Below are 17,367 nucleotides of genomic sequence, written 5' to 3'. Positions count from 1 at the left end.
GACGGGGTTTCACCTTGTTTGCCAGGATGGTCTCCATCTCCTGACCTCGTGATCCACCCGCCTCGGCCTCCCAAGGTACTGGGATTACAGGCGTGAGCCACCGCGACCGGCAGATTTGCATTGTTTTTAAAGCAAATAAACTGCCCTCTCCGTTCCGAAAAAGAGTCACCTTGACTTAAAAATCACTCACACATCTTTCCATTGATGTTTACCAAAGTAAGACTTCTTTTTAAAAGAATGTTATTATCGAAAACTTTCATCATGAGGCTCCTTTGCTACCAAGAAAATTTATATACTTGCTCATCTATTAATCTTTGTGTTTATTACTTACATTTCTGTCCCACTAAATTCTGGAGAAAATTTGAAGTGGCTCTTGGATTTATCTTCTTCTGGCTTTTACTAATGAATCTTCCAGGAACTGCCTCCTGAACTCTGTCTGTTATGTGTATGTAGCCTAGGAACAAATAATAGAATTATGTCCCTTCTACCCAAGGTAGGAAGAGATGAATTGGGAACTTTAATCCACACTTTAGCTTCTGAACTGGGGAAATCCAGCCAAGCAGAGTGGCTGACAACCTGTCATCCCGACACTTTGGGAGGCTGAAGCGGACGAATCACTTGAGGCCAGTTCAAGACCAGCCTGGCCAACATGGTGAAACCCCATCTCTACTAAAAAATACAAAAATTAGCCAGGTGTGGTGTCGTGTGCCTGTAGTCCCAGCTCCTTGAGAAGCTGAGGCATGAGAATCACTTGAACATGGGAGGTGGAGGTTGAAGTGAGCCGAGATTGTGCTGCTTTACTCCAGCGACAGAATGAGACTCTTGTCTCAAAAAAAAAAAAAAATGTAGCAGGGAATCATTTAATTATTAGCATCTTTTGCTTGGCAAAAGAGTTGTAGTCTTACCTGGTATATTCGAAGTCAAGAGGAAGCTAAGGACCCACGTTCAAAAGGGGCAGTTCACAAAACAGAATTGCCAGAAGGCAAGACCTTTGTTTCTCCATTTGTGAGGCACCACCTTTAGAGCCAGCTCTACGATAGGTGAGTTATGGAGTGACACTCCTCACTATCCAAGCCAACCATTTAGCCTCCTTCATGAGAATCAAATCCTACCAAGAAGCAAAAGCCAAAACAAAAATTGCATGGACAAAAAACCCATGTTCCTATGTAAAGAGAGACCGAGGTGAATTTTTAAATAAATTGTTATTTTCCTGTCACATTGCTAAGCAGATTTCACATGAGAAAGTCTATAGCACTGGTCTCACTGCAGCTGGCCACCTCAGAATCAGGAGCTCCAAGCTGCCTCCCATCCATCCTCTCTTCTTGCTGCCCCTCAGGAGCTCCGCAGGGCAAAGCTCACCACACACATTAGTGTGCACTGAAAATCTGTCAACCCAAGGTTATGGCCCACTTTTTAGGTTTGTTTTTTTTTTCAGTATAATAAAACTGCCTTCCAGGCATTTGGAACAGTTCCTTGAGTCATAATGGGACTTCACTTGTTGATCCCACAAGTGATTCGTGCAGAGCCTATTTTGCGAATTGCACAGTGAAGGAGCAGCAAGATAGACAAGATGAAACACTGTCTCTGCTTCTGTCTGGAACAACATGGTATTAGGAAAGAGGAACATGTTCCTTTTTCCCTCTCACTCTACAAAGGGAACCACTGAGGGTGTGAACCAGCAAGAGAAATTCCAGCTGGACCTAGAGAGAAATGGAGCTGGAAGGGATTTGGGTGTGGGGCGGCAAGGAGTGGGCCTGTAACTTAGAGGAATTCTGTGGCTAATTTACTCTCTGCAGACTTAGATATTCAGAGTCCTTTCCTTATGGTGGAAAAGGTTTCCTGGGTACCAGTTTCCTAGAGAGAATGCCATTTTAGTTTTCTGTTTTATTATATTCTTATTTTGGATAGAATTTGTTGCATAATATAAGTTTGTTGGGCCCACCCTAAAGAAAGGTGCTCAAATTATACGTATTGTAATCCAAACCATTCAATACTCAGCTCCATGTTCCTTTCCAAATACCAGGTGGCATCCAGTTGGCCCTATAAGCCGCTCCAAATAACAGACCTCTCTTTCTGTTGTGAAAGTAGAGTAATCTTAGGAGACTGATGTCATTGAATGTCTCCAAGCATAGCTGTCAAGTATGTAGATTCAAAACTTCACCATTTCATTTTATCAATCTTCAGAGCTTATTGAGTCACTTGTGCGTTTCTTCTCTTCAGAAATGCTGTGCACTCTTCCTGTGGTGCTCTTTTATTTTGAAGACCCCAATGCAGACCACCTAGGAGACGGGGGAAAAGCCTTCCCATAATGAACCAGTGTGAGCAATGCAGGGAAAATGTGTTGCAGAGCTGACTGAAAAGCAAGTTCTAGTTTTCTTACTTCTAAAGGATTATATCAAGCAGTTTTAAAATAATGGAAAGTATCTGGTCTCTCTGTGTGTGGTAGCAGAAAGGTGACTGCCACCAATGAGACAAAGTTATACAGACTAGGTGTATTATGAAACACTTGAAACGCTATGTACATAACAAAGTTAGAGTACTTGGCCCTTAGAAACAAAATGCAACTCATATATTGGCACTGGGATTCCAGGTTTGAATGGAAACAGCTAAACCATAAGTCAAACACACAGCCCATCTATTATTTCTTGTTATTATCACCAGCTTTGTCTGATTCCTCTTTTTTTGTAATGCTACCAAGAAGTAGAAGAGTAAAATTTGAGCAAGGTAGGTGATGATTAGCCAGGGAGACTTCTGGGTAATTACCAGTAAGATTATTCAGCAAGAACTACCTAAAGACAGAATTGGACCATTATGAGAAAGTAGTACAGAACTGATGTCATGTACACACACATACACACACATAAACCCCATCAAATCCAGTTCCCCATCTTCTGCCCAACTCATGAAAATTCCAAAGAGCTTTATTCAATCAAATTATTGACTTGGGGGTCCCAACCAAATCCCACTGTAGGTGATGCTGTTTCACCTAATTAAGACCCATGGTTCAGTAGATTCAGTAGAGAAGAAATTCCAAGTCCTTGCACTTGGCAAAGTGTTTGTTATTGAAGGATTCCTAAGTTTTCCAAATTCCACTAGGTATGAAGGGACTCAAAAAAGGAAACATTTTCCTTTCCACTTGCAATTTGTTCATTTTGTAGTGAGCAAGCACCAAAGGCTTTTCTTTCTTTTCCTTTCCTTCTCTTCTCTTTTCTTTTCTTTCTTTCGTTCATTTTGGCCTGAGAATCCAGAATATAATCATGTAGTCATTTTACATAAAAACTATGTCTACATCAGACATTACAACAGGATTACACCACAGGCAGGCGCCCTGGTGGCTCACACCTATAATCCCAGCACTTTGAGAGACCCAGGTGGGCCGATCACTTGAGGCTAGGAGTTCGAGACCAGTTTGGCCAACAAAGCAAAACCGTGTCTCTATTAAAACTACAGAAAACTTAGCCGGGCAAGGTGGCTCATGCCTATAATCCCAGCACTTTGAGAGGCCGAGGCAGGCGAATCACTTGAGGCAGGAGTTCAAGACCAGCTTGGCCAACGTGGCGAAATGCCTTCTCTACTAAAACTGCAGAAAACTTAGCCGGGCGTGGTGGCCAAGGCCTGTAGTCCCAGCTACTACTAGGGAGGCTGAGACAGGAAAATCGCTTGAACCCGGGAGGCAGAGGTTGCAGTGAGCCGAGATCGCGCCACTGCACTCCAGCCTGGGCCACACAGCGATACTCTGTCTCAAAAAATAAAATAAAATAAAAAATAATAAAAAAACACGACGTGGTTAGGTCACATAATTCTAACTGGTTTCTGATCCAGAATGTGAGCTTGTGAGCCACTATTTTTTGTTGCTGTTCTTTGTATTCGTTAGCGTATTAGCACTTGAGTCCAATACTTAAAATAATAAAGATAATCACTAACAGCAATGTTGTACCTGATTTTGTTGCAGTGTCATTAGAATTCTGTTGTGATGTTTATCTCTCATTTTTCCTTAAGAAACTGGGTTACTTCCTCCGAGCCCCGCGGGGAAGTCAGAAAGCCAACGTTAGAGATAACGTGGCAATGCATTTTAAGAAGAATCAGCTCCTAAGAAGTGGGGACAAAATATATTATCGGACTTTGCGGACGTAAACACGCCCCAGCAGGTTGAAGCCTGCGAGGAGTAAGGTTTCCCTGATCGCCGGTCCCCCTCCAGCCCGCCCCTGGTGCTGGCGTCCATTGCACGACGCCCTGTCGCCGCCACTCCCAGAGGAGCCGGGCCCTCGCGCTCCCTCCAGGATGGGACAGGATATGACAGCCCGGTTTGTGCACCAGCATCCTTAATATTTCCTTCCTTTCAGAAGCAAATAGAGCGTTCCCTTATCTGAATGCTAATTTCCTAGTTAAAAACCCTCCCTTGCTGACAAGGGACTGAAAGAGTTTTAAATCACAGATGTAGAGTATCAAATGCAATAATGCTCTTGCAATAGTGCATTGAAGCCTCAATTAATTAACCCTTGGGCTAAGTAGGCAGGTACATGGCGGTGGCCGCAGGCGGTGGATGGATGAGATTTAAATGTGCATCTCATTTCCCCAGCACGGAGCATGCCGTTTGGTTCAGAAAGGAGTCATTTTGCACACTCGCCTCATTTACTTGCTGCTTTAATCCTCCTAATTCCACCTGAGATCAGGGGAGAATTGAAAAGGAAGGCGAGGAGCAGGGGCTGCGGGCCGGGCTTTTGTTGCTCGCGGTCCCCGGGGGCCGCGCCGCGCCGGGCCACGTGGGGGCTCTCGCCTTCCGAGCGGGCGTCGGTGGGAAACCTGCGCGGCGAGAGACAGGGGGATGGGGCGCTTTTGACGCGACTGTGGGGTGCGGGTAGTCCTGGAGGAGGATGTCCGGCCAAGCTCACCCTGCCCAGGTGCCGGATCCCCAGCCCAGGCTGCGGCCTGCTCTGGGCTCGTGAGGCGAGGCCGCAGCGCCCCGACGCCGGGTGGGCGTGTGGGTGGAGTGGAGACTTGGGTCCCTCGGCGCATGGGAGTCCCGCCGCCTGCGGTAGGGAACCGCCTCCCACCCCTGGCCCGGCCCGGGCCGGGAGCCGTGTCCCGCGTTGACTCGGTGTAACTCTCCAGCTCATTTCTCTCCACGCGATTTACCATCTGTGAACTCGTCTTTAACCTAATAAAAATCATCTGGCTTTTGACTAACAAGAAAAGGAAACAGTGCTCATTGTGGGGTTTGGGGAAAATGGCTTCACTAATGTGCAGGATGAGAACGGAGTGATTTATAGGCGGTTTTAACTGTAGGCTATGATTAGGGGGCTGGTAGTAAGTGCATTAGATGTCTAAGTGTGGCAATAGAGTAAATAGGCGTTTTATTTATCGCAGTGCCAGGGGCCTCTTAGCGGAAGAGCGCTTCTCCAAATTGAAATATAGCAGAGTTTACACTCCTGATTAGGGCTTCAAGCGCAGAGCCCAAGGCTATCAGCTAAGCAGAAACAACGCTCGCTGACACCTAATTGTTACTGGATTAATGTGCAAACAGGGACAGCGAACAGCAACAACAAATAACCTAGTGTCAGAGACGTTGGTGGCAGTGTCCACTCGCAGTGACTTGGGGCCAAATTGGAGTTTATATGTCAAAACAGGCTCAGATCAATGTGTTGGGCTCCTCCTGCAAAAGGCTGGATGGAGTCATGGCAGTTGTTGATGTATGTGTGTGTGTGGGCATATTATGTGCCGGGGAGTGGAGGAGAGCAGGCAAACGGAGGAGGTGAAATGCCTTTCCATTAATTTTTTTTCTGCTTTATGCTCCCGAATTCACAGCTATTAAGATAAATTTATGTGAATCAGGTCTTTCTCTCCAGGATCTTGTGACTTTCGCCTGTGTCTCCATATAAAATTTAATAACCTTGTTTGTGAATCAAATCATTCCCACAACAACAGATTCAATCTGGGTTGCCACCTGTCTGGCTTTGGACAGGAGCAACCGAATTGGGCAGCTGGGTTCCAGCCTTTCACGGGGGCTGGTGGTTGGTTGGCTGCCTGGCAGGTCCGTTTGCCCTGGGGTTTTCCAAAAGCAGGAGTAGATGCGGCTGACATCTGAAGGGGAAAGGGAGGACAGCCATCCATATTCCTGAGACCCGCCTTTTCTTCGAATGACCAAATTGGTGGCAGCCCTATTTAAAAAACACAAGAATTCATGAGAGTCTAAAGCAAATGGGGGAATAGGTCACCATCCAAGAAGTTCTTATGCTCACTCATTTTTCTTCTACAATTAGCCATTTAGGGAGGGAAAAAGTCACAAATACATGAATTATGTTCTTAAATGTATTTCTAAAGTTCTTAAGTTTTATCAAGCATGAAAGTTGGTCTTTCCCTGTGTTAAGGACTGAAGAAGCTATAGAACTAGCTAGTAGCTCAATGGTGCAAAGTCTTATGATTTAAACTTGACACTTGCAATTTTTTGCCGTAAAATATTACTTTCTTTATTTCAAGACTTTAGTTGAAAACCTCCTAATTCCCTTTAAGCTCCATTTGATTGTCAATTGCACAACTCTCTCTAAAGCTTAGGGCTTATGATTTTCATACACACACGATTTATGCTTTTTGTGTCACAATATAATGTACTTTGGTACAGCTCCCACTTATTTCTCTTGCATCACGAGAGATTTTCCTTTTAGAGGCTGGGAGTTTTATAGTGAAGCTGTGAAAGAGTTGTGATCTGGCTGTACGTCTCGTTGAATTGTCCAAAATTGCCATTTTTGTTGCCCTGTACAACCTTCTGTGCCACTCCATTTAATATGTTTCCAGAAAATGTTGACCTGGATATCTGCATATCTGGGTAAAAGAATGAAATTAATTTCACGATTGAAAATTTCAATAGCTGGCTGCAGAAAGATCATTCATTGCCTCAAGTATGGATAGAGAGATAGCAGAGCCAGTGTTGGATGTTGCAGACACAGATTTCCTTTAGTCCATTTGTTGTCAGTAAATCGTAAAGCTGGATTTGCAATGGCAAAATCCCAAATATGTTTTACTGGATCGATTCAATGCGTTTCAGTTGTAAAACTCTAAGGTCATCCAAGCTGCTGATTAGAGCATAACATTTAAGTTAATGCTGTATATTAACACAATACTTAAAAACAAAAATACCACAAAGAGATATTAAGCTTTCTGAAAAACCATATATTGTTATGGCAAATGTTGGAATTCATGCAGGAATTTTGTTGATCCTAATTGTTATACTTTGCAGATTTTACTTTGTTGTCTCCTAGAACTAGAAAGAAATTTAGAGATTATCATACTCTCTTTACAGCCCTACGTGCACATGAAGAAACTGAGGCCCAGAACGGTTAAATATTTTGCTTAAACCTACACACACGCAGTGAAATTTTCCAAGTATTCCTCCTATTTGTCATTATTCCAGTCAAGCCATAAGCATTATAAGTATGTGAGAAAAACATCAAATGTTTTTGTTATACCTTGTCAATGTTAATTATTCAGGCATTTATAAACATTAACATTTTTCTGGCACAAAAAACTTTTCAAATTCTTGATTTAAGAAATAATTTAAAATGGGTGTTATTCCTTGATTACATATCTAGAAATTGTGAAACAATTACAAATGTAAAGGAGTTTTCAGTATTTGAAAGTGTTGCCATGTCTTGGTTATTTGAGGTTAGGATTATATTGTTTGTTTTCGAGTTTTCTGCTTCTTTTGTCTCCCACTCTTTCTGCTCTTTTGGCTTTTTGCCTTCTCCTCCCAGCTCTACAAGGAGCATACTAATACTCAAGAAGCTGATTTTATCATTGCTGATAAAAATTTCATGAAGAAAATAGGACAGAGCTAGCAGATAGAATGGAGTTTGATTATCATACTTCTCCCTGGCTCTCCCTGGCTATCAGTACAATGGGTAAGCAAGAAATAATCTAGCCTGTAGAAGAAAAGGTAATATTTGGTAGGTTTTAAAAATAATTCTGCTGGAAAGTTACAGATTTATTTGTGTATGAATCACTCTTGGAATTCCTATGATTGCCTTTGAGGCATAAACTTCAGAATGTGTCTGAACTATTAAGCATCTACCTTGTTGGTGTAGCTAGGTGTTTAAGAGAAATACACTGAAATTAAGTTATGTTAACCAAGAAAAAAGTTAGCCCCTTACCCCCAAGTTTAGGTGTATCTGTTTAAATCTAGATCTAATCTGAAATTTCTGGTAATGTGGTCAGACTCTGGGTAGCATTTGGTAGCTCTGGAAATTATAGTCACTCTAGTGAAACTGCTGAAATCTAAGCTGAGGACATCATGGGCACTATAAACCTGGAGTCTCAGCTACAATATATACTAACCAGATCCACTCACCTCCTCTCGGCTTCACCCTGAGTGTTTGGGAATTTCTTTGTTTCTTTTTTTTTCTTCTTTTTTTTTTCTGAGTTGGAGTCTTGCTCTGTCGCCCAGGCTGGAGTGCAGTGGCACAATCTCGGCTCACTGTAACCTCTGCCTCCCAGGTTCAAGCGATTCTCCTGCCTCAGCCTCTTGAGTAGCTGGGACTACAGGCGTCCGCCGCCACGCCCGGCTAATTTTTGTATTTTTAGTAGATATGGGGTTTCACCATATTGGCCAGGCTGATCTTGAACTCCTGACCTCATGATCCACCCCCCCCCCCCCCCCGCCCCAACCCCTGGTCTCCCAAAGTGCTGGAATTACAGGCATGAGCCACCATGCTCGGCCTTCTTGAGAATTTCTTAACCAGACATTATAAAAAACAAAAATAGTACTAGGTCTGTAACTGGGCATTTTTGTATAATAAATGGTTTAAACACAATTCTGATTTTATAGACTAAAATGATTGTAAAGAACTCTTAAAGGAAGAAAGAGAAGCTATTTAGGAATTATTTCCATGAAGGGAATATCATTTGTCCTGGGTGAACAATTCGAGAAGCATTTGAGAGTAACCAAAGCCATTTCAGAGAGAAGAACCAGGTGTTGAAGGGAAAAGAATGCTGATGTGGGACAGGTGGGAGGCATGGTTAAGGTTGGTGCCCTAGAATCATATAGTGGGGTGGCCTTGAGCAAGTCATTGTCAGACAGCCATGAAGTAGTTTCCTAACCTACAACCAAGGGACTAGGCACAGAATTTCTTAAGGTAAGGTCCACAAGCCATTAGGTCAGCATCTAATAAGCCCCTCCAAGGGATTATAATGCACTCCAGAGTTTACAACGCTTGGATCAAAGAACCTATGCATTTTCTTGTAAATGCGGGATTTTTAATCATTTACACTTTAGCAAGTTAAACTCTATTACGGTTTGTGGAAAAGACTTAAAGAGACACTGATGACTGATTTAAAATACTCTTTCAGGCCACAGGAAGACTTCATTAGACAAACTCTTCAAGAACTCTCTTCTTAGATTACACCTACTTCATGGAGAACTGCAATGGTTGTCCCTATTTGCTGTTTTTGTTTTGTTTTGTTTTTTGCGGTGAAGTCTCGCTCTGTCACCCAGGCTGGAGTGCAGTGGCGTGATCTTGGCTCACTGCAACCTCCACCACCCAGGTTCAAGCGATTCTCCTGCCTCAGCCTCCCGAGTAGCTGGGACTACAGGCACTCGCCACCACGCCCAGCTAATTTTTGTATTTTTAATAGAGACGGGGTTTCATCATGTTGGCTAGGCTGGTCATGGACTCCTAACCTCAGATGATCCACCCGCTTTGGCCTCCCAAAGTGCCGGGATTACAGGCATGAACCACCATGCCCAGCCCCTATTTGCTTTTTAAAGTTCTCTTTAACTTAAAAAACCACAATACTTTTCTGTAGTTAACAAAAAATTGTTTGTGGATTAAAAATACTGTGAGATATCCTCTTCCTAATTTTCTCAACTAGTTAAATTACCATGTTGTACCTTTGAGAAGTAGCATGATTTCATCTACATAGTAATGCAATTTTATGTACTTTTTGTATTTTAACTTTTGAAATGAAATGAAAACCAAAATATTCCAAATTAATATTCTTTAGGATTGTGCAAGAAGCCCAGTTCTTTTTTTTTTTTTTTTTTTTTGAGACGGAGTCTCGTTCTGTCACCCAGGCTAGAGTGCAGTGGCGCGATCTCAGTTTACTGCAAGCTCCGCCTCCCTGGTTCACGCCATTCTCCCATCTCAGCCTCCCGAATATCTGGGACTACAGGCGCCAGCCACCACGCCCGGCTAATTTTTTGTATTTTTAGTAGAGATGGGGTTTCTCCATGTTGGTCAGGCTGGTCTTAAACTCCTGACCTCAAGTGATGCGCCTGCCTCAGCCTCCCAAGTGCTGGGATTACAGGCGCCCACCACCACGCCCGGCTGATTTTTTTTTTTTTTTTTTTGTATTTTTAGTAGAGATGGGGTTTCACCGTGTTAGCCAGGATGGTCTCGATCTCCTGACCTCGTGATCCGCCGAGGCCCGCCTTGGCCTCGAAAAGTGCTGGGATTACAAGCGCGAGTCACCGCGCCCGGCTAAGAAGCCCAGTTCTTTAACACCATAAAATGATATGCATCTACGTATATTCCGTATATTTAAACATAATTAAAGGCAAACAAGTTATACTATATCCCAAACATGCTGACATGGTTTGGCTTTGTGTCCTCACTCAAATCTCATCTCAAATTGTGATCCCCAGGGTGTCAAGGGAGGGACCTGGTGGGAGGTGATTGGATCATGGAGGTGGTTTCCCCCATGTTGTTCTCATAATAGTGAAGGAGTTCTCATGAGATCTGATGGTTTTAAAAATGACAGTTCCCCCTGCATGCTTTCTCTCTCCTGCCACTTTGTGAAGAAGGTGCCTTGCTTCCCCTTTGCCTTCCGCCATGATTGTAAGTTTCCTGAGGCTTCCCCAGCCATGCTTCCTGTACAGCGTGTGGAACTGTGAGCCAATTAAACATCTTCTCTTCGTAAATTACCCACACTCAGGTAGTATCTTTATAGTAGTGTGAAAATGTACTAATACACTTGCATATTATTCTTTGGCAAGCCAATTGTAGAAATCACTTTTTTTCTACCCCAGTGCCATAGAGCTAATTCCATTTTCATTTTATAAATGAATCCAATAAGCATTTCCTGCACGGGGCCTACAAGGTTTTTCAGGCTCAACGTGTATCAGTTTGTGTTCTTGCGTGGTTAAAAGAAAAGCAAAAGTATGTAGTAAGCAGTAAGTTCCTTCTCCCATCATGTGTAATATTGGTCACGGAGGAACAATATATTGTGTGCTTTCTGTATATATACACTCTTTGTAAGGTAGGATTTCCCCCCCTTACTTAAGGGAAGTTTTTCTAAGAGCACACCTTTTTAATGGTATTCTTTCCCCTTCTCGGTGAGGGACTATTGATTGAGTGGACACTGCTTACTGTAGCTGTTCTGAGCTGCCAGCAGCAGGGTTTCCTGTGATTGATTTTATATAGCACCTTTTCTACTTGAGAAATCCCAAAGCACTTAACAAAGCAGGGAGTGAGTTTGATGCTGATAGTGATGGCGCAGGCAAACACTGGCAGTGGCATGAACCGGCGGCAGCTCACATTGCTTCAGATTCTCGACTCCAGAGAGCTGGCAGCCAGGTCGCCACCATTCCCTCTGGTCTGCCTAGAATCTCCAGACTGGAAAGGACATCTAGCTATCCTTGAGGATATTCCTTGACCTCCACCCCGACCAGCCCCTAAGTCACTCAAGATAAATAAGATTGGCCACTGTGGGTGGCTTCAGAGGAGTCATTTACTCTTGAATCCTTTATTTCCTCATGGGTTCCATATGGTAGATAGATTTGGTGTCCTGTCCAGTCAGCAGTTCTAAGACTCTATTTCTTGATTTTTTTTATTTTTTGTTTTTCAGAGACAGGGTCTTGCTCTGTCACCCAGTCTGGAGTGCAGTGGCATGATCATAGCTCACTGTAGCCTCGAACTCCTGGACTCAATCCATCCTCCTGCCTCAGCCTCCTGAGTAGCTAGGACTATAGGCATGTGCCCCCACACCCAGCTAATTTTTTATTTTTTGTAAAGACAGGATCTTCCTCTGTTGACCAGGCTGGTCTCAAACTCCAGGCCTCAAGCAATCCTTCTGCCTTGGCCTCCCAAAGTGCTGGGATTACAGGTGTGAGTCACCACACCCAGCCAATTTCCAGAGTATTTTTTGAGTCTCGAGGAGGTGCAGGCTCAAAAGTAGATTGTGCCAGGCATCTGCTCTGGAGAGAGAATACTCTTTGGCTGATTTTAGTACTAGATAAGTGCAAAAACAAGCAAGAGGGCATCTGCAGAAATGCGTGATGTGTTTGCCCTCAGAAGGAACATACATTGCTTACTTCTTTGACACCTAGCACAGTGCTTAGCACATAATAACCCCTCAATAAATGTTTGTTGAATAGATGTGTAAAAATGAAAAGCGTCTTTTCAGTGTCAGGGAAGGACAAATTTCAGTCCAGAATTAGGGGTGCTCAGGGCCTAGCATTGTCTACTTTAGCAATAAGCGTGCAAAATAAGCCAGCCCTGTCCCTATAGAGGCACCAAAAATGGCACAAAAACAATGGTCTTTTTTCCCCTGTCTTTTTCTACCTCGTTTTGATGCAAAAGTGAAGCTGCTTGTTTCATTTGCAGGTTGGGGTGAGGAAAGAAGGAGAAATTTGATAAGGTAAAAAGAACTAACATTAAGCTCAGAAGTGTGATCTATTCACTTCCAGTAAAAATGAATTGGAGAGAGGAGAGATGTGGCAAGACTCCCGGAAGGGGAGGAGAGACCTCACCAATTTGTGTAGGTCTTGAAGCAACAAGGAACCTGTCACTGAAGGAACAGAAAGAAGGCCATATGATTCTTCTTAGGATCTGGACTATACTTGCCCTCATCTTCATAGACGTGAACTTCCTTAGTGTCTCTAGCAAGGAGCAGGAGGATAACTGGGGAGGGAGAGAAGGAGAAAGTCACACTGAGACCTCTGGGTCCATACATGCCCCTGTACCCCATGGGAGGAGAGCAGTGGCAGTTGTGAGGTGACTTTGGAGGAAGAGTTGGCAGGTCACATCCTGTGGCTCCAGCTGAATTGATACCCAGACGTCTGGTGTGTCATACATGCGATCACCCAGTTAGCTTGCTCAAAAGAGGTGAGGAACACCCTAATTAAAATGTCTGTGCGCATTCGTCTTCACCTGTGGTTTCTTTTCTTTATATGTATGGCCATAGCTTTAATTTTTTTATTTATTTTTATTTTTTGAGACGGAGTCTTGCTCTGTCGCCCAGGCTGGAGTGCAGTGGTGTGATCTCGGCTCACTGCAAGCTCCGCCTCCCAGGTTCATGCCATTCTTCTGCCTCAGCCTCCTGAGTAGCTGGGACTACAGGCGCCCACCACCACGCCCAGCTAATTTTTTGTATTTTTAGTAGAGGCAGGGTTTCACCATGTTAGCCAGGATGGTTTCGATCTCCTAACCTCGTTATCCGCCCGCCTCGGCCTCCCAAAGTGCTGGGATTACAGGCATGAGCCACTGCGCCCAGCCTATGTATGGCCATAGCTTTTAAATTCATTTTCATTTTCAAGTAAATAACTCACTTTTGTCTTGCACAGTGCATTGAACTATCAAGTGTCCTTTGCTCTTCAAATAGCCCACAGAGGCCCACAGTATTTTTGTCCTCATTTTACAGATGAAAAAGCTGAGGCCCAGAGAGGATAAGCGACTTGCCCAAGGTCACACAGCAAGCAAACGGTGGAGCTGGAATTCAAACCTAGGTTACCACGTGCTACTTCTCACTCACTGTCCACTGTGCCTTGCTTTCTCCATCTCAAACAGAAAAAAAATTATAAATCTGATTCAAAAGAGAAACTGTATTGTTATGACACTCAGCATTTGAAGAACTATGTTTATAGTTTTCTTTTGAGCTCAGACCACACAGCCACAGCCAGCTGGCTTACTACCCTAGGCTATCAGCTAAAATACACCACTTTTTATTTCGTGGTCTTCTTCTTTTTAGGAACAGGAATAAACACCTGGGATTTTTGCCCATAAGGTTCATGGCCACATATATTGTCTCTACTTGGGGCATCCTTGACACTTTGGTAACCCCATCTCTAGGACGAGAGTGCTGGGCTGGGCTGAACCAATGTGCTCCAAGGCCCCTTTCAGCATGGACAGCCTATGACGGCAGGCAGGTGAGAGTCCACTGACCTGCAGCTAAAGAAAGAGGTAAACTGGGGTGGGCACAGCTGGCAACTCAGTTCTTATCCATGCTGGCTTACTGGGAGCAGATGATGGCAGGCATTGGCTTTGAAGCTGGGCACATGAACACACACAGGACATAGTTCTTGCCCTCCAGGGGTACGGAGTCTAGTGAAGCCTTCCCAAAGGAACTTGCATGATTGGCAGTTACTGCTCACATGTTTACTTTGTATTGGTGAATTTTAAGATGTGTCCCTTGCACAATATGAGTAATTTAAAATATATCTACACGTGATCAATTCTTCCTTCTATCCACTGGGGGAAGAAGCCCTATTTAAATAGATAGACAGACATTGAGTGGGTGTCTCTGTGTCCCAATAAGATGAGCACGTTCTGCCCTTAAACAGATGCACATTGCATCCTTGGGAAGCTGCAATGGACAACTCTGGAGGCTTCACTGTTAGGAAGCACACCTTGGAAATACCACACAAGGAGAGTAGGGCCTCTGGTGTTTCTGACTGACATGAATGAGCTCAAGAAGAACCTGATTAAGGGAACCAGGGCCCTCCTTGAGAGGTTCGGGGGAGCATGGATCATACGGCAGTTTTGTTTGGAAGAAAAGCTAGTCAAAGCCACAGGGAGTCCTTGTAAGGCCAAAGGAGAGAAAGTTGTTCCCTTGGAGAGAGTGGCATTTTGGAAAACTGAAGATCACTTCAGTAATATTGTATATGAGAATCTTTGTAACCAAAAAGAAATGCAATAAATCTCTCAGTTTGAAGGCTTCTTCAATATTTTACAGATCACACAATCATCTCCTGCTTTTGGCACAAAGAAAAATCCACATGACAAACCTTACGGAACATTAGCAATATCAAGATAAGCTACATCTGCAGAATACCAGTGAAATTATCCCTACCTACTGCTGGTGTTTTCAAAAATGTGAGGCGGAGGGTCCATTTTTTTTTTCCTGTTAAAAATGGAAATCGGTGTTTGAGTATTCCATGAAGTTCTTCAGGTTCATTAACAAGGTCAAAATCAATGTTATTTTACTGTTTGGAATCATTTTTGGCGGAACAATGGAAAGAAACCATAGTAGAAGTAGTCTTAATATAATCATTTTCTTTTCATTGTTCTTTATGGGAAAATAATTTGGCCCGAAATTTAGTGGTCCCATCAGGGAGGTGATATCTTTAAAAAGGTGGTCTGAAGGACAGGTTTTACTGTACTTTAATAGGCTTATAGATTAATATAAATCTTAATATTCATAATCTTTACCATTTCTTTTCTCAATATCTGCTCCATCTATACATCTATTTATAATGTATGTTTCAAACACAAGATATACTTGATTTTTATTAAATATACTGATGGTGCTACAGGGACAGCAACTTGACCTAGTTAAAAAAAGAAAAAAGAGCCAGGGGGTCAAATTTGTGGATAGTCTGCTGCTGAAAACAGATTTTTGCAGATAATACAATGGCCTGAGAGCAGGGCTGTCTTTGCAAATTTGCCATGTGCTATTATTTGTGTATGGCCAGGTCAGTAAAATAAATATGTGTATATTGGGTGCCAAGTGTGAGCTGCAGATGATCATGATGAAATGTGGATTTCTCACCTGACAGCTTGATTATTCTAATCAAAACATGGAACATTTTCAACCTACATATGCTCACAAAAGAAAATCACAGTGATCACTACGTAGGAAATTTACTTATTGGACAGAAAAGAAAATATGTAGGTATGCAATGCTTGGCAAGAATAAAAAAAACGCTAATTTATTTTAATGTGGTTATTTAAAGGAAACATTATATAAGCGATTTTGGTTTTATTTTGATTCTGAGATTCCTTGTTTGCCTGTCAGCTTATTATGTTATAAACATCAAAGAAATTAATGAATTGTAGATGTGTACAACATTGATATATTATGTAAAAATATGTACATATGTATATATATCTTTTACTGATTATTAAATACATCCTTATTATAGAAAATTTACAAAATATGAGGCAAAAACCAAAATGCTCACCACCCAGAGATAATCATGTTAACATTTTCTCTCCTCTGTTTTGTTTTACACAGTTTAGAGGATCCTGTATGTATAAAATTGAATATAGGTTTATTAAATTCCATTGTAGGATCCTATAACTTACTTCACTATTTCCTATAATTGGATGTTTGTATGGTTTCTTGTTTTTTCCTATTATAAATATAAAAGATAAACATCTTTTATATAAACCTTTGGTGGCATTTCACATAACTGCCCCAGGAGCTAGTCCCAGAGATGGAATTAATGAATTAAGTAGAATAACATTTTTAAGGCCTTTGATATGTATTGCCAACCACTTTCCACACAGCTTAGGCCAATTTGTAGTGTAAGCTTATTTTAATCAGATTTGATGTACTTTGCCCACATGAAGAAAACGCTGTGGTTTCAGGTTTCCAAAGCACAGATCGCCTGTGATTGGCAATGATGTTCCTTTGTGGTTGCCCTGAGGAAGATGTGAGAAAGTGTTGTAGAGGCCTATTTGTCTGCTGTTAGGGAGTGCTAGTTCTTCTGGTTAATTCACATAAAGGCTTTTTTTTTCTTTCTTCTTTTTTTAGATTATGTGATCCTCAGAAATAGTATTTAATGTTTTAAAGGTTAATATTAATTGAAAAAGGAGAGAACTTAAATAATTGCCTATATAGTTTCTTTACCTTTGTATGTGTATATTTGTGGTAATGAGAAAAAACCGTGGAATTTATTACTAGAAAAATGGGTCTATGAAAGTATGTATGCTTTTTTGCCCACTCAACTTCCAGCTTTACTGGCTTTAAATATTTTGTCCTCAGTACCTCAGTCCTCTAAGGTGTTTGGCTGTGTGCAGAATGTCATATTCCTGTCCCCTCTGTTGATAAGGATGTGGCTTTGTGTCTGTGGATGCCTGTGTGTGCAGAGGCTGGGCTCTCTGAAGGCAGAAAGCAGTCACTGCCTCTGTGGCTGCTCCCTCGTGATCCCTGCATCCTACACACACTGGTTTCCCACCACTGGCTGTCTGGTGACAATGTGTCTACTGTGCTTGAAACTGTTTAAATCCAGGGTATCATTTGGACACTGTCAGTTACTCCAAGATTCAACAGTATGGGTATGCCTGCTTTAGACATGGCAGGAATCATGTAAAGGAAGGAAAGCAAGAAGGCAGGGTAGACACACAGCCCCATTCACATTTAAATGCAAGGCCAAGG

At 42.6% G+C, this 17,367-nt stretch overlaps 2 annotated features.

The window, feature by feature from the left end:
- Window positions 4,688–4,787: a silencer, noted in NCBI's record as "silent region_16118". NCBI's record gives its function as "represses an Ori minimal core promoter by ATAC-STARR-seq in GM12878 lymphoblastoid cells {active_cell/tissue: GM12878}" and the evidence as "EXISTENCE:reporter gene assay evidence [ECO:0000049][PMID:35858748]".
- Window positions 4,868–4,987: a silencer, noted in NCBI's record as "silent region_16117". NCBI's record gives its function as "represses an Ori minimal core promoter by ATAC-STARR-seq in GM12878 lymphoblastoid cells {active_cell/tissue: GM12878}" and the evidence as "EXISTENCE:reporter gene assay evidence [ECO:0000049][PMID:35858748]".

The sequence above is a fragment of the Homo sapiens genome, chromosome 5, assembly GCF_000001405.40.
Source record: "Homo sapiens chromosome 5, GRCh38.p14 Primary Assembly".
Classification (NCBI taxonomy): domain Eukaryota; kingdom Metazoa; phylum Chordata; class Mammalia; order Primates; family Hominidae; genus Homo; species Homo sapiens.
Note: the sequence above shows the minus strand (reverse complement) of the source record. Positions and strands in the feature narration are given on the sequence as shown.